The sequence below is a fragment of the Homo sapiens genome, chromosome 3 (assembly GCF_000001405.40).
Source record: "Homo sapiens chromosome 3, GRCh38.p14 Primary Assembly".
Lineage (NCBI taxonomy): Eukaryota > Metazoa > Chordata > Mammalia > Primates > Hominidae > Homo > Homo sapiens.
In genome coordinates this window covers 184,840,581-184,865,371 of record NC_000003.12, presented here as the reverse complement: position 1 = coordinate 184,865,371, position 24,791 = coordinate 184,840,581, and the positions used below count along the sequence as shown (strand labels likewise).

General features: G+C 36.2%; 1 protein-coding gene across 22 annotated transcripts in view; it reads right to left on the bottom strand.

Moving 5' to 3' along the window:
• VPS8 (VPS8 subunit of CORVET complex) overlaps positions 1 to 24,791 on the bottom strand; it is a 240,449-nt gene that overhangs the window by 187,243 nt on the left and 28,415 nt on the right. For 13 of the 22 annotated variants that reach the window (NR_146113.2, XM_024453426.2, NM_001349294.2 and 10 more), the window contains 9 exons: positions 22,127 to 22,132; positions 16,177 to 16,301; positions 15,350 to 15,436; positions 12,805 to 12,872; positions 11,362 to 11,515; positions 11,199 to 11,258; positions 9,554 to 9,661; positions 5,307 to 5,387; positions 2,305 to 2,475 (listed from right to left, as the gene is read on the bottom strand). Coding sequence is in view for 19 of the 22 variants with exons in the window: in XM_024453426.2 (XP_024309194.1) it covers positions 2,305 to 2,475; positions 5,307 to 5,387; positions 9,554 to 9,661; positions 11,199 to 11,258; positions 11,362 to 11,515; positions 12,805 to 12,872; positions 15,350 to 15,436; positions 16,177 to 16,301; positions 22,127 to 22,132 (860 nt within the window). In the remaining 3 variants the exon portion in view is untranslated. The remainder of the gene's footprint in view (positions 1 to 2,304; positions 2,476 to 5,306; positions 5,388 to 9,553; positions 9,662 to 11,198; positions 11,259 to 11,361; positions 11,516 to 12,804; positions 12,873 to 15,349; positions 15,437 to 16,176; positions 16,302 to 22,126; positions 22,133 to 24,791) is intronic. The other 9 variants (XM_047447824.1, XM_047447823.1, XM_024453428.2 and 6 more) reach the window with 1 other exon arrangement.

Genomic DNA, 24,791 nt, shown 5'->3' with positions numbered 1-24,791 from the left:
GTTGCTTTAAAATTTTTCTACTTATCATTAATTTTGATCAATTCGTATACAGTTTATTTTAGTTGTGCTTGGGTTCACTGAGCTTCTTAAATGTGTGTGTCTACAGTTTTAGAAAAGTTTTTGACCATTAGTTTTTCCAATTTCTTCTCTCCTTTAGAGATTTTAACTGCACGTACATTAGGCTATCTGATGTGGTCTCACAGTTCACTAATACTATTTCTTAAAATTATTTTCCTGCGTTTCATTTTGTATAATTTCTATTGTTGTATCTTCAAATTCATGAATCGTTTTTTCTGTATTGCCTAATCTGCCATTAATCCCATCTAGCGCATTTTTTCATCTATAAGCACTATAGTTTTCATCTCTAGAAGTCTGATGTGCATCTTTTCAAATATCTTCCATGTCTCTACTTAACTTTTTTAACTAAAGAGTATAGTCATAATAACTACTATGTCTTTGTCTGCTAATTCTAACATTTATGTCAGGTGTGATTTAGTTTTTATTTTTCTCCTTGTTATAGGTTGTTTTTCTTCTTTGCATACCTAGTAATCTCTAATTGGATGGGAGACATTGTGAATTTTACCTTGTTGGTTTCTGGATCTTTCTGTATTCCTATTAATATTCTTGTGTTTTCTTCTAGGAGATAAGTGATTTGGAAACAGTTTGATCCTTTCTGGTCTTACTTTTAAGATGTGTTAGCTGGGACCAGTGCGCCATTTATTCTAGTCCTAATGAGGCAAGATGCCTCTAAGTACTCTACCCAATGCCCTGTGAATCATGAAGCTTTCCATTCTAGCTGGTGTAACAAGCACTGTTTTCAGCCCTGTGTGAGCACTAGATACGGTTCCCTCTAAACCTTTCAAATGGCTCTTCCCTGGTCCTTGGGCAATTTCCTTCTATGCATTTGCTGATTAGGAGTCTGAGGAACACTCAAGAGGGACTCTTTCATAGTGCTCTTTTCTCCAGTACTCTCTCTTGCAAACTCAACCCAATTTTGTCTTCCTGCAACTTGGCTCTGTCTTCTCAAATCATGGAGTCTTCCAGGCTCCATTTGGGTTCCTCCACAGCCCAGATGCTCTCTCAAGGCTGGAAGCTAGGACAATCACAGAGTTCACAGCATTTGTTCCCCATTTGGTGAGAGATTGCTGTCCATCACTACAGATGTCCAGTGTCTTAAGAACTGCTGTTTACTTTTCTTCTTCTTCTTCCTTCCCCCTTCCCCTCCCCCTCCCTTCTCCTTCTCCTTCCTCTTCCTGGGTTATTTCAAGCAGGAGAGTAAATCTGATTCCCCATAACTCCCTCTTGGCTAAAAGTACAAGTTCAAAGTCCACTAGTATTTTTAATACCATTCAAACACAAGAAAATAAAGTATGGAACAGTAATTATTATTATCACTTAGTGAATTATATTACACTATCATTTCTTATTCTGACTTTTCTTGGTTTTTAAAGTGGGAGGCTGGAAGACCCTTTCATATATATTTTATGCTCTGAAGTTATAATATGAAGGAGATTTGAGCAAAGCCTACACATCATGCTGTAGTCACTCATTAAATATGACCATCATTACTATTTTTTTCAAAAAATTATCCAAGGAAGTTCGCACAATGGTCTAAATTTCCTACTTAAAGATTTGTGGTTTAGGAACATGAGATCACAATTCAAGGTGACTGAACTATAAACTATCTGTGGAAATTGCTTAAGGCCATTACTGTAGTTGCTTAATGATACAATAAAATTAATGCTAAGGCCATAACTTTGTTGCGTCCTCCTTCTCTCTAGGCTCCTGCATCTCATCTATCACCTATTTCTAGAATATCTTCTTTCTCTCAAAGCCATCTTTGTTTTTTAATACCCACAGCTACCATACCTGTTCAAGCCTTTACCATTATCACCCAAATATTTCCAAAGCCTCATAGAGTACCTGTCTGTAGTTATTTATCCCTTAAATCTATCAGGCTTATTACTGCCAAATTAAGCTTTCTAAAAATATTTTGATTTTTACAATTTTTCTCACAAATTTTCCATTATACGTCATTATTTTAGTATAAAAATTAAAACTCTTTGTTATTAAGTAAAATAAGTCACATTTCTGAATAGAAGGGAAGAAAAATGATTGTTTTAGCTTGTATTCCCAAACACTTATAAGCACATCCACACCCACTTCAACCTAGTGGCTTGTAAAGAAACACCTCAAGACAGAAAAAGGTAACTCCCCAGAGTTCCTATTTCTAAAACAACTATAACAAAATACCAAGTTTATCAAAGTATTTTCTAGGATAGCAAGATAAGTGATTATCCTTACCAGTGCCTGGCTAACATTTCCTCCAGTGGCTAGTGATTTGAAATGGCTGCTATTGTAGACCAGCTGAACTTCTGAGATCTCCACTGTCTCCAATTCCTCTTGTGTTTGCCGATCAATCACATGCAACTTCTCTACGCTGTCTAAGAGCACAACTGTGCGTGAATTTATCCACTGTAATTCAAGCACACAACAAAACAAAAGTGAGACCACACCCGCTTCATCATTTGGGTCAAGAAGAAAGCTTGGCTGCTCGATTAAATTACATTGAGGACTTGATCCATTTAACAATTTACATGGCAACACAATCAAAGCAAGAACTACTCAGTGACAGGCCAGAGAACAGTAGGTACAATATACTACTGACTTTTGAAAATGTTAAAATGACACTTTCATAGTGTAAAAGAAGACTAAAAGCTGTAGGTGGATTAGAGCATATCGTTTTTTATAAAAGATTTTTTAAAGCAATTGGCACAAATGACTTCATTATCATGACAAACTCTGCATTTCTAGTTTTTCTGATATTGCTGAAACAAAAGAACAAAGTAAAGCCGATAAACCTAGCTGGTCAGAGGACAATTGTTAGCACTGAAACAATACATATTTTAAAATAGAAGCTATTTTAACAATCTACTTCCTTCAAAATCTCTCTTAAAATTATGAGAGTCCTTTGTTCTATTTCTCTGTATCTCCCAAATTTTCTTTAATAAGTACTATTATAATGTTAAAAGTATTAACAATAATAACTTTAAAAATCTTCTGAAGGATGCCATTTTAACAAATTTCTTGGGTTATGTATAAAATCAGATTTCTTATTTTCAAATTTTTTTTTGGCAATCCCAATCGTTTCCCAAGAAATAAATCTTAAAATCTGCTCAATCAGAATTCAGAAGTCGCCAGAACGAAGTGCGTCCCCTGCCCTTTATGTCTCTGGTATTCATGCTGGTGTATTTGTATGTTCTATTCCATGTCATCAGATATTATTTGCATAATGTCCAATTAAAGATAACCAGTTGAAAATGCTAAAAAATACACTCTATTACTGTATATTAGCCACTCTAAGGGAAGAGTTTGTTCCCCTCTCCTCCTCTAAAAAATATCTTTCAGAAAACAGGGAGTTTGATATGCAAATCTTTTACAGAAAGCTCTTATAAGGTGCTCTCTTAATTATTTTATTTAGAAAAAGTATTTTCTGGGAAAAATCACATTATTTAGCCTTATACAACCTTAATCAGTGCTAGTTCTTAGGTACTCTCAGAGGTCACCTGGTGAAAACAAGAGAATGGCAGAAAAAAATGAACCTCAATAAGTTTAGTAATTATTCCTGAGATTAGACCCGCAGCGTTGCAAGTGTTGACATTGTTGTAAATAAGCCTTTTAAGGGTAATTTACAAAACAATGCAGTTAATGGTCACATACACTTCTGCAGATTTTTAAAGTACTGTATCTCAAACATCTTAAACAGAAATTATGATGATAAATTCTGAAAAACTGTATGACATGATTCAACAAGACAGTTCTGGTGATGACAACACTGATGTCTTCTAAGAGTCTGAACAAAATTATTTCATAAAATGTGTATGGAAGAAAGAATTATTTCTAAACAACTGTCTGCGAGTTAAAAATGTAATGTACAACTAAATCAATAAATCATGTAAAGAAAGGATTTACTTCATCTATATCCTAAAAAATTACAGTTATCAAGTTGAGGAAAAAGCACTTTTTCATTCTTTTTATTAGAAAAATGAGGCATTGCCTTATATTTAGGGTTGCCTATATTCATGCATCTACAGAATGTTACTGGACACCAGACACTGATGTGCTAAAATGTATTAATGATGGGAACCCAGAAATATTATAATTACATTGTTCTCAAAATTAACGAACCATTTGAGAGAGAAAAAATAAAATTTGATACAAAAAGAAATCTCTTTTTAAACCAAGAAGTTGGCCAGGTGCGGTGGCTCATGCCTGTAATCCCAGCACTTTGGGAGGCTGAGGCGGGCAGATCACGAGGTCAGGAGATTGAGACCATCCTGGCTAACACGGTGAAATCCTGTCTGTACTAAAAATACAAAAAATTAGCCAGGCGTGATGGGGGGGCACCTGTAGTCCCAGCTACTCGGGAGGCTGAGGCAGGAGAATTGCTTGAACCTGGGAGGCGGAGCTTGCAGTGAGCCGAGATCGCACCACTGCACTCCAGCCTGGGCTACAGAGCAAGACTCCATCTCAAAAAAAAAAAAAACCAAGAAGTCACTCAGGATTGAGATGCATGGTAGAAAGAGAGCTCTGCAAAGTTTTTAGCCGCAAGAAAAAAAGAGGTTGCACAAGCTGCTGAATCAATGAAGACAAAGCTCAAAAATACAAAAAATGTTTTACAGAGAAAGCAAGGCAATGATTCTCAAAAAATTCACCTAAATTCTTCTGAAGCCAAACTCCCCTTTGAGCTAAACAAGACATTAAATTTCTAATCCTGCCTGTGTTCAGCAGGACATAGACTGAAAGGCAATAATTTGTGGCATCACACCACATTCAGAGTTTATTCAATATAACCAGGACTCCCTCTTTCTGTGTGTGTGTGTGTGTGTGTGTGTGTGTGTGTATGTGTGTGTATACATACATATACATATATATACACACATATATACATATATATACATATATACGTATACATACATATATATACGTATATATATACACACACACATATACTTTTTTTTTTTTAAGAGACAGGGTCTCACTATGTTGCCCAGGCTGGAGTGCAGTGACTAGTCACAGGAGCGATCACTGAGCACTACAGCCTCGAACTCCTGGGCTTAAGCTATCCCAGCTCGGCCTCCCAAGTAGCTGGGACTACAGGCACGAGCCTCGGTGCCGGACTGTCCATATTTCATATGATCTTAAAGGTAATAATTCTTGGCAGAAATCCTGGTAGCTTTAATATATCATAGATTCAGAACAATTACATGAACTAAATGGGGATATTTAATTTGAATAATACTCACGGTAAAGTTGATGAGGTCATAGTATAGGTGAAGATGCTTTTGCTTAGTAACATGTATTGCTCCAGATTCATCTCTCTTTACCTGATGATGAAATAAAAACAACCTAAAAACCAGCTACTGTTTGAGGGACTTTTTTAGATATTTAATTATACTCCACCTAGAGTATCACATTTACCCATTATCCCATTCCCTGTAGATAAGCCAAAAATACTGATAATTACACAAATGATTATGAAAATAGAAAAAAAATTATTTGTTCCATTATTTACACCAAAATGCAGGGCATATCTGGGGGTGGTCTAGTTGTCAGTACTGACAAATGCTGTGACATAGTTTTCACTCTGTTATAATTCAGAACAACCTAACTTTATCACATCAATGACTATAATTAAAGTACAAAAAGGAAAGGTGACATGGTGTGAGGAAGTCAAAAGTCCATTAAAGAAAAAGAGATGCTGCAGTGATGTAAACCAGACTTTTCTGAACTATGATATTATTATGAGAGGACTCAAAAAGTTCATGGAAAATGTATACTATGAAAAAACTATGCATGGATCTCAAAAATTGTCTGCACCAAAATAAACTCATACTAACTTGTTATAACATGTCTGAAAAGGATCTAGTTTGAGGCATTAAAAAGGATAAGACATCAGTTTGAAAAGAGCCCCAAAGAGCAACATAAATTCTGCTAAAATTTAAGCAAGAACAAACATCAAATTTATGGTGAAGCTTCGGTGGAAGAATGTAAAATCACTGATGCTTAATAAAAGTTTATGGGAACAATGTCCCCAGAGAAATCAGCAGTTTACAAATGGGTAACTCGTTTTAAGAAGGAAGGAGATGATGTTGAAGGTGAAGCCTGCAGCTGTAGACCATACCCATCAATTAGTGAGGAAAAATATTCATCTTGTTCATGCCCTAATTGAAAGAGATCAACGATTAACAGCAGAAACAACAGCCAACACCACAGACATTTCAACTGGTTTAGTTTGCACTATTCTGACTGAAAAATTAAAGTTGAGCAAAGTTTCTACTTGATGGCTGCCAAAACAGTTGTGTCCAGGTCAGCTGCAGACAAGAGCAAAGCTTTTAATGGGAATTTTAAACATGTGGAATCAACATCCTGAAACATTTCTTTGAAAAACTGTAACAGGAGATAAAACATGGTTTTATCAGTGTGATCCTGAAGAAAAAGCACAAGCAAAGCAAAGGCTATGAAGAGGCAGATGTGGTCTAGTCAAAGCAAATGCAGACCAGGCAAGAGCAAAGGTCATGGCAATAGTTTTTTGGGATGCTCAAGGCATTTTGCTTGTTGACTTTCTGGAGGAACAAAGAACAATAATATCTGCTTATTATGAGTGTGTTTTGAGAAAGTTAGCCAAAGCTTTGGCAGACAAATGCCCAGGAAAGCTTCACCAGAGAGTCCTCCACCACAACCATGTTCCTGCTCATTGCTCTCATCACACAAGGCCAATTTTGAGAGCAATTCGATCCACCATACAGTACTGATTTGGCTCCTTGTGACTTTCGTCTTCTAATCTAGAAAAAGTCTATAAAGGGCACCCATTTCTCTTTAGTTAATAATGTGAAAAAGACTGCATTGGCATGATTAAATTCCCAAGACCTTCAGTTCTTTAGGATGGACTATATGGCTGGTATCATCACTTTAAAAAGTATCTTGAACAAGATGAAGCTGATGTTGAGAAATAAAATTTATTTTTATTTTTTAATTCCATTTTTCCACAAACTTTTTGAAGTTCCCTTGTGTAACTCTTGCAGCCCAAAATTTCCCAAAAGGACCTTGAGTGTCAATCTTTTATTTATATGTATATAAGTACACACTCTATATCCTCAGTCATCCTTATAATTTGCTTCTTCCCCTTCTGCTCCAAGGTAACAGAACACTGAAGAAATATAAAGCACAAGATACACCCGACCACCTGAAATTCATGGCATTCAATTCAACCTGGGCTTTCTTGCACACTCCCCATAGTAGTATCATAGATGTCTTTCCCTTTAAGTTACCTTCTGATCCCATCACTTACAGTGGTGACCTCACCTGATATCTTAACAAAAATCTGAAACCACTTAATGTGGGCCCTTCATGTGGACCCCTCTTCACTTCACTAAATCACTTCTCCCTTAAGAAAAGATCTTTTGGTAAAATGAACATGGGATCTAGAGCCATATATCTAAGTTCCACTATTATACCCGTGTGACCAAGGGCAGTCACCTACTCTTTCTCAGTTTCCCGAGAATATATGGTCCACAGATACTAAAATATTTACTTTGTGGCCCTTTACACAAAAAGCTTGCTAACCCCTGATCTAGATTAATAATGATTGGCCTAGACTGGTAATGGAGTCATCACAGGTTCCTAAGTAATTAAAGTCATAAAGACGGGATTAAAGTGACATTTTAGGAAGATCAGTCTTGAAGTAGCAAAAAGAATACACACAGAAGGGAGGAGAAACATTAAAGGTTTTTCTCTCATAATAAAGCACATGTAAGGTGTTTATACAAAGAGGGTTGGTTGCAGTGAGAGTTAAGGGATGATACTTTCAAGGAAAAACAAGCCTTCTCATCATATTGGATCTAGAGACTGAAGGACATGAATGAAACATCCCATTTCTGACTTTACATTTTAGAATCAAGAAATATTTGAAGAGATACTGTTTAGGAAGAAAATGATTAAGGAATATTTCAATGTGTTGAGTTGAAAGTAAAGATAGGACTCTCAAATGTTGTATTGGGGATGTTCTAATAAAACTTTATTTATAAAAACAGACGGCTGGCCAGATTTGGCGCATGGGCCATAGTGTGCCAACCCCTACTATCAATCCACCCCATCTATTCAATTATATTTTCCACCACAAGTTTCTCTTTGTCATTAATTCTATAAACATTTACTGAATATTTACAATATACAAGCACTGTCCTAGTGGCTGGAAATATAACAGTAAAGATGGTCTCTAGAGTTATGGAGCTTTCTGTCTAGTGGGGAAGAAAAATATTAGACAAGTAATTTTAAAAGTGCTGAATGTGGCCAAGCACAATGGCTCACACTTGTAATCCCAATATTTGGGAGGCTGAGGTGGGAGGAACGCTTGAGGCCAGGAGTTCGAGAGTCAGCCTGGGCCTTGGTTGGAGACCCGCAAGACCTCGTCCCTCTTTTGTTTTTTTTTAAGTGCTGAATGTTATCAAAAGATGCATGTAACTAACTTAGTTCAGAGGCCAGGGAAGGTCATGTTAATCATGAGCTCAGAGACAACAGAAGATAGCACAGAACTTTCCTGGCAGAGGCAACAGTATATGTAAAAGGCACTGAGGCCAGAGACTAGCTAGGAAGCTATGGCAGAATCCAGGCTAGACATGTACATGATTTAGACTAAGGAAACAGCAATGGGGGAGACAAAAAAGGAGAAATTCAAGAGATTTTTGGAGGTAGAGTCAATAGGACTTGGTGATAGAGCACATATGAAGAGAGAAAGGTAACTGAAAAGTAACTCGTAAGTTTCTGGCTGGAGAAACTAGGTGGACAGTGGTGAACTTGCTTCACTGAGCTAGGAAACGCAAGAGATTATTAATACAAAGGCACATTCTTGCCTCTGTGACTTCAGTTCATCTCACTTCCCCCAGTATGCATACCTACCCTTCCTGCAGTAGTTGCAGTATATCCTTCATAAAGCCATTAATACTCTCTCTAGTCCATACTAATCACTTTGTACTCTGAATTTACATCAGCTTGATTTTCATCACATAGTTCAATCCTTAAACCATTTTCTGTAGTAATAATGAACACACTGATTTTGCTTTTCAAACAAGATTATAAGCTGTGTGGAAGATGAAATTATGTTGTATACTTCCTTCTTTCCTTTGCTGCTTGTGCCCATCACAGTGTAGAGGACATAATAGGTGCTCAATGATACTTGCTGTCATTAATACACACATATGTAGTTGCACATACATTAACACATATTCACATTCATATCTTTATACATTTACATATACCATTAATTATTTGTCAGTCAAAGAAATGAAGCTGAGAAATAAACCATGAGAAGTTATGTAGCTGAGAGTGATCACCATTTTCCGATGCTAATCATTAAAGCCTTAGATAAAAATTAAATAGGTCACTCTCTCTCCAAAGACTTAGGATAGTAACACAAATTTCTCTGACACATTATTAATTGCTGATGAATAAAAAAAATTGTAAGAGGCTTTCTAATGGTCATATTAGGACTTACCAATAGAAAATGAACAACATCTCCTCTGCAGAAGGCAAGCATGGGATTCACGTAATTTTGTACTGCTACAAAGTGCCAGGCCAGCAGTGGCACACTGGAAGGATCCATCTAAGTAGGGAGATGGAAAAAAAAAATCATCACAGTTAATAAACAAGGGGACAAAGAGAAAACTATGGTTAAAAACAGCATCTGACTAGTGTTCCTTGATAAAAACTTTCCCCAATTTCTCAGTAAAGCAAGAACTAACTGGGAGGTATCATGAGGGAACTTTCTGGGTTGATGGTAATGTTCTACATCTTGATAGGCATTTGAGTTACAAAAGTGTTAAGCATTTGTCAAAGTTCAGCAAATGTACACTCAAGATCTGTGCATTTCTTTGTATGTATATTCTACACCAAAGGAAAAACCTAAAGAAGTATTAAACTCTAGCTAATAATATGCATGCTAAATATTTAGGGGAAAGAATACTGGTTTCTGAAATTTCCTTTGAAATACATAAAAAATATAATTTGATAAGTGGACAGAGGGATGGGTAGATGGACAGATATGTAATAAAGGGCAGTAAATGTTAATTATAGAATTTAAATGGTAGCTATACAAGTATTCAATGTAAAATTCAATTTTGTTTGAAAATGTTTATAATAAAATGTTGAAAAAAAACAATAAAAACATACAAAAAGAAGCAAACACATAACACCATGAAAAAAATCTCAATTCGCCAATGAAGCTAATCTAACAAATGTTAATGGCCATCTAAGCCAGTTTTGCCATCTGAAAGGATAGACCTGCTTCCCCTAGGGCCCAGAGACACACAGGGTACCAACAAGAAAACAAAAGTGAGTTCCTTCACCATAGGGAACGCTTTCTGCACCAGCCAGAGTTCTGTACCACCATTCTCCATCCCATCCTATCAACACCTCTCCTCATATATACATTGGAAGATTACAACTCTGAAAACAATCAAGAAGAAAAAAAAGGGAAAACTGGGATATAAATAACACATGCTAGGAAGTATCATCCTCCAAAGTAAATTATCAGAGGCAGAAGCCAGGGAAAGCACATGTAATAGCAATCTATGGCGCATATTACAGTGGGGTCTACTCTATCCATAGTTCAGTGCCAAAGCTGCAGGCAGTGAGTATAAGCCTGTCTCAGCACAGCAGCCATGTAAAAACAAGTATCTTTCAAACACTGAAAATCAGGGCTTGGACTCAATAAATCAACTTATCCTTCAACTTTAAATCTGATAAGGGAATTTTACTGCACTCAGAAGGGCAACGAATGAAGCTAGGAAATGCCATGCATGAAGTTAGGTGTGACCACAGAGTACCAGGACAGCAATATACAGGGACTGTCAAGTTAAGGTTAAGAACAAAAGCCAACTGTATGCTGTCTATGAGAGAAAAGCTTAAAGTGATAAAGTGGAAAAGTACAAGACTCATGATCCCTAGGACACTGTGCTGGTCATCAGCTTTATGATGCTTTGATCACCTTAAGGCAAGTCCAGCCAACGATCTCTGGAGCACTGACTTTCATCCTGTCTAGTTTTCTGACAATCTCATAGAATTCACCCCTTGCAAGCCATCTCTCTCAACCTCCTGACATGGTCCTTCCTTTGGCAAATAAGATGGAGGGACGTACTCACCCGGCCATAGGGAAAAGTCATCCATACTTTCAAGGATGGTTTCAATCCAATGACCAGTATCTGTAAGAGAAAAATATGTTTTCAATATTGACCTTGGAATTTTCAAATATTTGGTATTCAAAGCTTCTAAAAGTTCTGAGTTTTAACTTCTAAATACACTTACTTTTGTCAAGGATGCCATGGCCAATAATGAAAACTGTGTGATGGGATGATCTTTCAACTCAGGCTTAGAATGCAGAGGCTCAATACAGCAGACTTCACCCTTGGAACCACTGAACAGACATCTAGATTCACAGGTTCTCACTCCCATCACTCTCCTGAAAATGCAATTTGAAAATTCAGAATCAATTTAGCAATGATCCAAGGCACTACTATCTCTACCTGGACTACTTTCATAGCCTCCTACCTCCTACCTCCTTAACCCCCAACAATCCAAGCTCCACAGGACAGCAGCATGGTCTTTTTATTATACAAGTCAGATTCATTTATTTTTCTGCCAAAAACAGTCCACTGGCTTGCTACTGTACATAAAAAATAAAATCCAAACTCTTTCCCATGTCTTAAAAGGATATGATCTGGCTCTCCCTTCACTCCTCTCCCATTATTGTGTTCCTGACAAAGTCACACTCCAGCCACACCTGCTTTCTTCCATTGCTCTAGCATGCCAAGTTTGTGGCCACCTCAAAGTCTTTGTGTCTGAATGGTCTCTGCCTGGAATATTTTCCTCAGATCTGTGCATTTGTTGACTGGCTCACCATTCAGTTATTTTTCCAGATGTTGCCCCTTCTGAGAAAGGCATTCCAGAATTATCCTCAAGTACAACCTAGTGCAATCCCCTGTCTTGTTTTCTTCACAGCACTTACATCCATCTGAGGTGATTTCATTTACGTGCTGGTTTGCTGTTTCCTTACCCTTACTGCAGCTAGAATGTAAGTTCTCTTAGAGCAGAAACTTTGCTTGGTTCACAGCTATAACTCTGGGATCTAGATAAATACCTACACATAGGAGATGCTCAATAAACATTAACTGAATAAGAAGTATGTTTTTTTCAGAAATTACTTTGTACTTAGCATTGTTAGAAGCTATGAGAAACACAAGAAACAAAGATAGTTGTTAACCTTGAAGAACTTATGGAGACATAATATTCAATGAATATTATGTTCTACTTTTCAAAAAACTCTGCTTCCTAAATGTTCTTTGATGTATCTAGACAGTCTTTGCTCTTAAAGAGCAAACATGGCAATTCTAAGATAATTAAAAACCTGTTTACACCTGCCCATTATGATTAAAATCAACTGGGCCTTGAGCCTAAACCAAAATTAGTGAGCTATTCCAGAAGAGTGGTCCCAAGCTTGACAGCATATAAGAATCTTCTGGGGAGTAGGAGTCTAGAATCTCAACTCAGACCTACTGAGATAAAACTCGGGAGGACCAGGCCCAGAACTCTGTTTGTTCTATTAATATAAGCCTTCCCAGGTAATTGTAATACACAGTCATAATCTACTCTCAATTACAGGGGCTTTCTAGTCCTCTTCATGTTCAATTTCAAATCATTAAAACAGAGCTAGTCTTTTCATTTGTCAACAAATGTCCACTAGTCTCTTACTTAAATGTCAATTCAAAAACAGAGCCTCCGCTGTCGTTGCAAATTGCAAGAGTTGGATCATCTGTAAACTAAACAGAGAAGGAATTTATTTTCTTGTACATTTTTAAACAGTCAAGTATTAAGGAGGAAAAAATTATACAATTTTGAAAAACTACAATATACACATTTAATAGCTTTTGAAATAACCTAAACTAGATTCAGTGCTCATCACTCTAAACTTACAAACTTACCTTTATTTAGAGTAATAATGGTCCAATATCTTTAAAAAAACAGAGGCTTTCAAAAAGCAAAACCACCTTTCATCACGATAAAAGAAAAATACAAACTATGATTGATTAAAAACCCTAAAGTTCTCTATTTGGGTTCTTACAATAACTTTTTGTAACTTGCTATTACTAAGTAAATGAGATCCTTTGGTTACATTTACACCTGCCCAGTTTTAAAGAATAAAGACTCTAAAAAATACTTGGTATCTTTGAGAAATAAACTTATCTGAATATGTCTTCTGAATAGCTGAAAAGTAAGTCCACTATATCTAAAACATTTTAACTTTTCATATGTAACTCTTCCCAAAACGTGCTACCTCCTTGATCTTCTTCCACAGCATATACTTCAGTTATCACTACCTAACTTAGAAAACTCAGAATAATAAGTCATGTTCACAATGACAGACAGTCCTAAGGTGACCTGAAGTATGGTCAATGCTGCATGACACAAAATGGAATAAACTGAACTTGTACCATTTACAGTGACTATCCTCCCTAAACTCAAAGGTTAGTGAACCATCCTAAATAGCACGCCTCAGGTTCCCAGTCAGGGATGGCTGAGGTACTGGAGGCCACTGTAAAATTCTTCTTCCTTGACCCAAACACACGCATAGTTAAGAAGCCCCACAACTTTGCTCTTACAGCCTCGATGAGCAGTTGCCAGAGTGGGAAGCATATACCCTAGGTGTGTGCATGACATGGTCCGCTGGAGTGCAGGAAAAATAACAGAACTTGTATTTCTGTTTAATTTTCTATTTCTTTTGTACGTGCTTTATAATGTACATAAAAATTAGTAAAGTAGTGTATTCATATAAACGCACACACACACACACACATAAATATCCATAAAGAATGAAATTCCAAATTGTTATTGATGAGATACAGGCTTAAGTTTGGAGAACAACGTGTAGGAGTATTAAAATGCAAGTGGCTGATGTCAGTAGAAGACTTCAGAAATATTCAATCCTATGTGTCTTACTCCAGTGTTATTATCTACATGTACCACCTTCATCACCATTGTCAAGCAACACAATGGCTCCTACTATATGTTATTTATCTCAACTGCATTCTTCTCTTTTCTCTCTGCTTTTATCTCTTCTGTTTCTTATTCTTTCTCCCAGTATTTTTTTTTCTGCAAAAGGATTTCTCTTGTATAAACACCACCATCTAGTTTTTCCTTCAATCAAATATTTATTGAGCAGCTACTATGGGTAAAACACAAAAATAAATGACAAACAGATTGTGATTTCAAAGACATTCATCCACTAAGAGAGATAAGACATATATACAAACAACTATAACATATTAGAAGTTGGCACAAGCCATATGAAAAGAGGTCAAGATACTTTGCCATAATGCTCTGAAAGAGAAGAAATTCTCTCCACTTTTACTTGTCTTGGTTGTTTTTATTGTTACTAAATGCTTCAACGCTGCTCTGTCACAGAAGACTTTTTTGTAACTAACTTAGATACAGACATACAAACTCCAGATGCTTGCAGACTTTAAAAAGCATACTTACGGATGACAGAGCTCTGCAGAGCTAAGCAACAAAATGTGTAGATGATTAAAATCTAGAAGATCTGATTTTAGACTTCTCTAGTTATAATCCTTTACCTTTTATGCTTCTGAACATGGGCTTGACAGCGTGGAAGAATCAACATTCACATTGTATTTATAAATGAAATCTGTTACCTAAGTCAGTTTATTTTTTCAGGCCTATAAGGAGAAAGCCAAGACTAGGATCTTAATGCTTTCCCTTTAGAGGCCTGAAAGAAAATAAACCAATAGATTCATTTCTAAACATAATCCAAACCTTGGTTTTTTCACGATCTGTGCCTTGAACCTCAGGCAACTCCCAAAAAAGGGTGACAGAGCACACCACCTCAGCAATAAAATTTTGATGACCTAAACAAAGGTAAAAAGACCTTTTAAGAGCTCCATATGAGTTTCAGCAGGGTGCTGCCCATCTTTATGGCCAAACTCTAGTCTAGCAACACACCAATTTGCCCTTTTTGCCGCTGTATCAATTAGACTTCAATACAACTTGAAGCTGAGTATTTCCATACTAGCCCATCTCTAGTTTTAACCTGGAAAAACATCATGTTGGGCTAGTCAAATAAAAGACAGCTCAATGTTGAGGATTCTATTTATAAGGTAATGTTCAGCTTCATGTTAAATACATTTTTTGGACTCTGATCATCAACATAGAGAAATTTACTTTAAAATAAACACAAAGGCATAATAAAAAAATTATTAGGAAAAGAAAATAAAGCTCTTACCTTGATATGCAATATTGCTGTTCCTGGAGGATGAGCATCTGTTATTGATCTTAGAAGTTTTCCACTGGCCAAATCCCACATGGTGATCTATAAGACAACTAAGTGCTTCAAAAACAAATTTATTGCTCTTTTTTTGGACTTAAGTATCCTGCCTTCTGGCTGGAATAATCTATTCCTTGACTATAAACATTGCAGGCAAAGAACTATAAAGTTAAAACATACCTAAAGGTTGCAGATCCATTAAAGCATAGAGCCTTTATTCGATCTTCATTTACCCTTCATCCTGCCCATCCTACTTCTCCCTTTAGATTTTAAATGTTGTTCTCATACTGAGAGACAAAAGATATTTCTCTAATAAGTCAATCTGTTTAGCACTAGTAAAAAGTATCGGAAAGGCTTACTGCCAAACTAGCTAGTGATGTATGAATCAGAAGATAAAAAAACCATAATCTAATGCCAGTTTCAGAAGAAGAAAGAAATGCAAAAATCGTTATCCAGGAACACAGAATCTTTCTAAAAAGCAGCCTCCATTATTTACACGACTGTAAGGAAGTACATTTTATATAACATCCCTGGTTGGTTTACAAAAATTATTTACTCAAATAGACACATGAACTAGGATATAAAAAATTACAGACTCTGGGTCAGTCGATAACAATTATGTAAAATTTTGAACAAGACAAAACTCAGATTCAGCAATCTCTGGTTAGCTCTACAAACATATTACTTCATAACACGTATTTTGGTCTTTGATCTAAGATGTAAGTTTTTGTAAATTCATCTTGTTTTAACATTGTCTTATGAATTAAAGGAGGTTCATATCTTACCTGTCCTTTAGCAAAGCCACAAAGAAGTCTTGAGCAATCATTGTTGATACTGAGGGCAGAGATAGCGCCATACTGACCTCCAACACTAGTGCTACCCAGACAGAGTCGCAAAGCTTGATTCTGATCTAAAGAAAGCAGTTTTTAAAGTCAAGTGAAGGAAATGCAAGAGAGTAAATACATCGAGTACAGGCATGCTTTCAAAGACTTGGGAGGTGACAAGAATCAAAAGCAGCAGATAATGAAGTCACATTCATTTTTAAATATATTTATTGAGCAACTAGCAGATGCTGGGCGTTGAATTAGACACTTAAAAATACAGAAAAAAAAGGCCGGGTGCGGTGGCTCATGCCTGTAATCCCAGCATTTTGGAAGGCCGAGGTGGGTGGATCACCTGAGGTCAGGAGTTCGAGACCAGGCTGGCCAACATGGTGAAACCCCGACTCTACTAAAAATACAAAAATTAGCTGGGCATGGTGGCCCACGCCTGTAGTCCCAGCTACTCCAGAGGCTGAGGCACAAGAATCACTTAAACTTGGGAGGCAGAGGTTGCAGTCAGCTGAGATCACACTACCGCACTCCAGCCTGCACAGCAGAGTGAGACATGGTCTCAAAAAAAAAAAAAAAAAAAAAAGAATACAGGAAAAAAAAAAGATCTACAAGGAAGCATAATAAAAAATGCTAATGATAAGCCAAAAAATCCACATGTAATCTGTATCTCCTTAAACAAACCGTCACCTGTCTCATCCTAGAATTGTATTTCTTGCTATTTTTAAGATGCAAAGTTATCGGGAATACCATCGTCTTTTAAAATAACTATAAAACTTCAAAACTCAAGAAACTTAATTTAGAATTTGGCTGAAATTTACATTTATATTATCCATAAAGAAAATTTACTAAGCTAATTAACGGTGCAAATTACAGAGTAAACATTTAAACAGCTTCAGAAAATTATTTCAAACATCAAAATTTGATATGCTAAAAGTGGCTAGGCACGGTGGCTCACACCTGTAATCCCAGCACTTTGGGAGGCTGAGGAAGGGAAGGTCACTTGAGGTTAGGAGTTCGAGACCAGCCTGGCCAACACAGTGAAACTCCATCTCCACTAATATAAAAAATATAGCCGGGTGTGGTGGTGGGCACCTGTAATCCTAGCTACTTGGGAGGCTGAGGCAGGAGAATTGCTTGAACCCAGAAGGCAAAGGTTGCAGTGAACTGAGATCATGCCACTGCACTCCAGCTTGGGAGACAGAGAAAGACTCCATCTCAAAAACAAACAAACAAACAAACAAAATATGCTAAAAGCAAGCAATTCAAATATCTATTAGATTAAGTTTGTTAAGGGTGATAAGGGCGAGGATCTTGCCTTAATCACCTCTGATTTCTCCAGGAGGCACTCAAATATTTATTAAATTCTGTTATCTAATAATTAAAAGAAATTTCTCTAGGGTTTCTCCTAGGCAATGCTTATTTTGTCTAGAGTTCATTATTATACCCACTTGAAAACAATGAAATTAAAAATTTAAATGTCAGAATGCATGCCTACAAAATTTAACTATTTAGAAAAATGCAAAAAACACCATATTTCCACAACTTGGAGTTTTCGCAACTTCCCCAGCACTGTTTGTGTCTCCCTTAATTATCTACATGTGAATTTTGGGGTATGTCTTACCTCCCCTATTACACTATGACCTCTCTGAGGGCTAAGATCATGAGTGAATTAACACTCCCAAAGCACCTTGCTTAATGCCTTGTGCTTAGAAGGCATCTGACAATCATCTGAATAGCTTTCACATTTGCCAGTTCTCCTTCTATAAAAGTAAATCTAGTTATCAGACACAGTCACTCATTCTCAGGTCTAGGGAATAATATTAGGTCAGTCCTTTTGCCCATTCAGAGTGAATACTGTAAGAGTCCTTTTCTGTGCTCATAAAATGACTTAAATAGTAATCCCTCCTTCCCAAAAAAGAGTTCTGAAACAATGAGTATAACTACATAGCACATAGAAAATACTCTATTTTTTTCAATCATTTTGGATTTTAGCCTTCCAAGGTGAACACTGAAAAGGAATAACTCATAAATATACAAGGTCTGATGTATTTTAAAAGTTACTGTCTTTATTCACATCTAGAATTTTACAACTACAGATATTTTTCAATACATTCTGACTGTTCTCCTCCTTACAATTTTTTCACCCTTCCTCGATTTAATCCAAATTATAAAACTTCCCTTTATTCTATAATTTTCCTGACTCTAAATATAACATCACATTTTATTTTGCTCTTCCAAAACTACCTACCTAAAATAATGTTTTGCATGATCCTTATTTCATCAGAACCACGCTGTATAGTTAGTGGATTCTCCACATACCTTAATTTGCAAACTGTCATGATATGATGGTTGGGCAACAGTATTCCATATATACCTCTACTCTGGGTCACATGTATAGGTAACAGATGGACTGAAAGTAAGAGGACAAAGATAGAGCTGGTATGAAATTTCATACCCTGGAGTTTGGACCGCTTGCCTTCCAGGCACAGAGCGATGTCTAAGCAGCATACTGCGAAGATCCTTTGTAGTCCCTGCTTTGAGATCCAAACTTCACAGAGTTCTGATTCACCAATACTTAAAGACTCTCACTACTACTTTCTAATTTAACAACGTTCATACTTTAAATCGGACTATTTCAGGCACAGGAAGTATAAGCAGGAGAACTGAGAATATGATAACAAAGAGAATAAGGGTGCCATGAAGAGGAAATAGAGAAGAGTGGCAATGGATGAAATGAGGGAAGGAAAAGGACATAACTTGTAGATTAAAAACCAAACATGACTGTGCTTTCCTGACTGTTGTTCCCACATACCATCAACTAGCTAAGACAGGGAAGTAAATTATCAATCTTAGCCATTCCTGCAATATGGATTAAATTTACAGCCCACAAATCTGTTAATGGAAACATTCTCAACTTTTTTCTGGATTTTTTACAATATATTTGTTGTTTTTATAATGTTCCTTTAGAAGGTATCATGACTATGAAACCAGATACCTGGATTTTAATTCCACCCCTACCCCACAGATAGTTACAAGCCTTACAACTACAGTATGTCTTGGTAATTTTAGGAATGTTTCTTAAATTCACTTAGCCTCCCTATCTTCATCTGTAAAATGTAGAAAATGCCCATTATCTCACTGTGTTGCTAAGAGGAATAAATGAGTAAAGTAAGATAATGCACAAAGGAACCAATTCAGTGTCCCTTGAATATTACTAAGTGCTCATCACAAACTAATTTATAGATTACATTCATATATACACTTAAAAAAAAACAGCAGTGATGGTGAGAGACATGATGGACAGTGTAACAAATGTAATCTACTTTGACTCCATAAAGATATTTATCAAGCTCTTATTGGTACCTTCATACATTTTTTTTTTTTTTTTTTTTGAGACGGAGTTTCGCTCTTGTTGCCCAGGCTGGAGTGCAATGGCACGATCTGGGCTCACCGCAACCTCTGCTTCCCGGGTTCAAGCTATTCTCCTGCCTCAGCCTCCCAAGTTGCTGGGATTACAGGCATGCATCAACATGCCCAGCTAATTTTGTATTTTTAGTAGAGACAGGGTTTCTCCATGTTAGACTGGTCTCGAACTCCCGACCTTAAGTGATCCACCTGCCTCAGCCTCCCAAAGTGCTGGGATTACAGGCTTGAGCCACTGTGCCTGGCCACTCCTCTTCATATGTCCTATCCTTATAGTACCATGTTAACAAACTTGCTGTTATATAATTTAGACTAAATTCAGAAAAGGTAGAATTTCTGTGGAAAGAAGAAAGCAGTCTTATTGAAGAGGTTTCTCCTGCTAGAGTAACTAAACATTCTGTAGTCCAGAAAATTCTGGACAATTCTGGGAAATATTTGACCAAAATAAACATAAAACCTCTTCAAAACACTTAAATTCCATGGATACATGTAAAGAACAAAATGACCTGGACAGAAGGTGAAAATGAGAGCCACTCCAGGTTACTCTTGATTTCATGAATTTAAAAGGAAAAATTCTATTCTCCTCCTCCTCTCTGAAGTCTCCTTTGTCTACAGTTGGAAAAAGTTATTAAATTAACAGCATATCTAATTTCTTTACAAAGTCACATAAAGGTATATTTGGTTACTACTGTCAAATCTGTGTTTTAAAAAAATTGCAGGGGTCTTAATAATGGTTACCCTGGCAAGAAATATGAAATGAGACTATCACCTTTCTTATAAACTTCACTGAGTTGACAAAGAGTTTTGCCTATGAAAAATTAGAAAATCACCAAATGGCACAAATGCAAGGAATTACTGTTTATGACAGTAATATAGCTTACCAATTAATTTAGATAACTTGAAGGCCAAATATCACAAACAACACATCTATTTGGCATTGCCCTGAATTATATCTGTATCTTTTATTAGCATGTCTTTCAAAGTACACTTTGCTTAGAGTAGATCTCCTCAGCATATTCTGGACTTAAGAATAATATGCTGAATAGCAAAGAAAAGTCACAAATAATGTACAAAGTCTGTAACAGCCCTAAAATCTAAATTTGAACATACTTCAAGAATTTCTGTTAACTCTTTCCATATACCAAAATTAGCCCAATCCTCTATTTCTCAAAGAAGGAAATACCTACATCCTAGTAGGAATCCAGTTTAATTGTGTGTGTGGAACTCTACCTTTATTGGCCAATATTCACTATTCTTTAATACTATTCTTTTCTTATTTTTTATTTTTTATTTATTTATTTTTTTTGACAGAGTCTCACTCTGTCACCCAGGCTGGAGTGCAGTGGCACGATCTCGGCTCACTGCAGCCTCTGCCTCCTGAGTTCAAGCAATTCTCCCACCTCAGCCTCCCAAGTAGCTGGGATTACAGGCACATGCCACCATGCCTGGCTAATTTTTGTATTTTTAGTAGAGACGGGTTTCACCATGTTGGCCAGGCTGGTCTCGAACTACTGACCTCAAGTGATCTGCCCACCTCGGCCACCTAAAGTGCTGGGATTACAAGTGTGAGCCACCACATCCAGCCTTTTCTTATCCTTTATTCACACTAAAATATTCTCTAGGACCGAGGGAGAAAAGATCTAATCAGGAAACATTTTTCATCGATGATCATAAAACAACAGAAGCACTTTTACCTGACCTCCAGCAAACCAACTCACAGAATTCAAGTTCTCCTTCCCTCTGTAAGGCTTACTGACTGAAGCCAGGGCATACTGAATCCCCATTGCTAGTTGGATATTTTCCAGAATGCTTATGCTTACTATGAGTCAGCTGTATTCATTCCCAAGCCTGTTCATGCCATTGTAATGTTACTGTACTTTAAAACTTAAACAGTAAATAAACCAATGAAACAGAGTGAAAAAGAAAGAGCTGTTGTTTCCATGAACATTAAATGGGATGATTTAGAAAAACTTGGTAAAGATGAGTTTCTATACAAAACTGTCACAAAATAAGGTGTTCATAATATAACAGGAAAAGACTGAAAGTTTTGTTAAAATCTAGGATTTTGCATGCATTGATTGACTCACAGGTGCTTAAGCTTTCACCTCATTTTTAAAATTTAAAATGGCAAATCTTGCATGACCCATTAATGATGAAAGTTTATGCCAAAAAAGATACTTCAGAACCCAAGTGGCAAATACAAACTCAAAGAAAAGGTTTGGGACTACATCAAAAGATCAAAGGAAAAATGAAAATGTATATACTTTCAGTTAAAAATTATATTTTTCAGTTAAAACATTGAAGGTATATATATATTTACAGTTTTTCACAATTTCCCACTTAACTAATTTTTCAATTAGCTGGGTTTTTTTCAATAAGCATTTCGTAAGAGGACATTGACTATAATTGGTAGCATTCTCTTCCAACATTAAAAAGACCAAAAGAAACCATTCATGCAAACTAAAATTACTTACTATACCTTTTCCTTTTGAATCCATGAAGAAAAGATCAAGAAAGATAAAGAAAAGCAAGAAATCAGTTCAAAAGTTCGAAGAAAAGGCAGGTAAAAAATTTCAAGAATATAAGTGACAAGCTTTAGTTATCTGTGGGAATGATACTAAATTTGATTAAGTGATGCCTCTAGTATTTATGATTATGCTCAGCTATGGGTTATGGGAAAAAATCCATAATACTCTCATTAGAGCAAAGTAAGTAAATCCATGTTTAAGTTAGATAAAAACAAAAACAATTTCAAAAAGATAATCTACTGAAGTACACTAATAACCAAAAAAAAAAAGAGGAAAACTAAGAACCCTGGGATGGGGAAACATCTTTATTAAGATTTGAACTTTTAAGACTCTGTATAAGGTAAGTACCAATATATTTTTTTAAACACTATATGCCTATAATTACTTAAGAAGAGGCAATAAACATCAGTCTTCAAGAAACTTATAATGGTTTCTTTCTTAATGACCTGGGCCTCTGTTTCAAAGAGAAACATTCAGTACTTAAACAAGTATAGCTCTTCTTGCTACACTTTCTCCTATGATCAACACAGATGTTTAACAGAGATGAGATCTAACCCAGGCCTCTAGACACTTTATAGTATTATTACTCTGCCATTTGTTGCCAGGCTTTCAAGCATATTTTAATCCATTTGATAAAACACGTTGTCCAAACATCTGATTCCTATAAACAGTAATGAGTAAAATTTATTAGCTACACTATTAATACCCAAAGCACAACCAGAATATTATGATTCTTTCTCAAAATGTTCACTTAGACATACTTTCTTTTCCATGAGACTGTAATGAAAGATTATTTCCTCATATCTACAAGAAAGCTACTGGGGTCTAAAAAAAAAAAAAACCAGGAACCAGGCCCAAGGAAATTAAAAAGACAGTATCAAAAGACAATGTTCTCTTTTCCTCTGCTAGTTTTTATTTGTAAAGTATTCATTTTAAATTGTTTGCAGTAAGCTATACTTGAGTTTGATGATAAGCAGTCACATATTCTTTTTTTTTTTTTTTTTTTTTTTGAGACGGAGTCTCGCTCTGTCACCCAGGCTGGAGTGCAGTGGCGCGATCTCGGCTCACTGCAAGCTCCGCCTCCCGGGTTCACGCCATTCCACATATTCTTATAACATTGACAAGAAAGGGATGTTAAAGCAGATAGAGGTGAGGAGAAGTGAGTACTGGTAAATGGGAACCAAAAATCAACATGCAATCTGCTGACAAATATATGTATTATCATCTATTCTCATTCACCTTAGTTCTTTTATTCTTTTCTTCCTATCTTAGAATTTGCCTCCTTTTCTCTCAGGATAGCAGAATTGCTTAGAATAGTGGAAATACACTTATACAGGATTCAGCATTCCTCAATGAACTTGGCTGAACTTGGCTCTGTGCATCTCACTTAACCTCTCTGATCCTCAGCAGCCTCAGATGTAAAATAAGGGGACTGAACTAAATGACCTCGTAAGTTTCTTTCCCAAAATTCTATTTATCTAACATTAATTATGCCCCACAGGAAGACCACCATTCTGAACACCTGATAGGAGAGCAGGCTGACAGAACTTTTCTAGGGGGCCATTAGATGATACATATCAAAAGTCCTTAATGTTCATCTCCTAATCCAAGCAATTCCACCTTTAGGAACATCTGTCCTAAAAAAGTAATCATGGACACAGAAATGTAGTAACGAAGATGTTCATCACAGTACTATATGTTTACAAACAACTTAAATGTCTTATAGTAGGAAATGATTAAGTAAATTAGGAAGAATCCATTTAATAGAATACTATATAGCCATTAAAAATGATGTTACAGACAAAATATATAACTGCATGGAAAGATATTCATTAAAATAAAAAGCAGTTTACAAATTAACATGATCCCATTTGAGGGTGTATAGATACACATATATAGGTACAGAAAAAAAGACTAAAAGATTACATACAAAAATGTTAGGGATTATTAATACATGGCAGGATTTGGTATATCTTCAACTTTTTGCTCATCTATATTTTCTATATTTTCTACTATGACTATATATCAACTATATAGGTTTTAAGAGTCTTTTTCAATCAATTCTAAATTCCTTCAAGGGAATTATAATTTTGTTTCTACTCTTCTGGTCCCCAAACAATAAAACTCTTATTTAAATCAATTACCTTTGAAAAGACTAGGTTTTACAATTACATTTTAAAAAGCTTTTGTCATAATACAAAATTTATAATAGTAAGCCAAATCATTCAAAACCAACAGAAAATAACTAGTTATCCACTTCCATGGTAAATAAGGATGCAAGGCCCCACAGAAATCAAATCGTGGTTCTGCTATTAAGTATTCTCAGGTAATCCATATAGAAGTCTGTAGATTCCTTACTAAATACAGTGTCTCAAGTCTTTCATTTAAGGGAGATGAAATGACTTAATATCCAGAAGAGAACACTAAAAATGACCCCCCCCAAAAAAACTAATAGTTTTTTGTTTATTATTATTATTATTTTTTTGAGGTGGAGTCTCACTGTGTTGCCCAGGCTGGAGTGCGGTGGCACAATCTTGGCTCACTGCAACCTCCGCCTCCTGGGTTCATGCGATTCTCCTGCCTCAGCCTTCCGAGTAGCTGGGATTACAGGCGCCC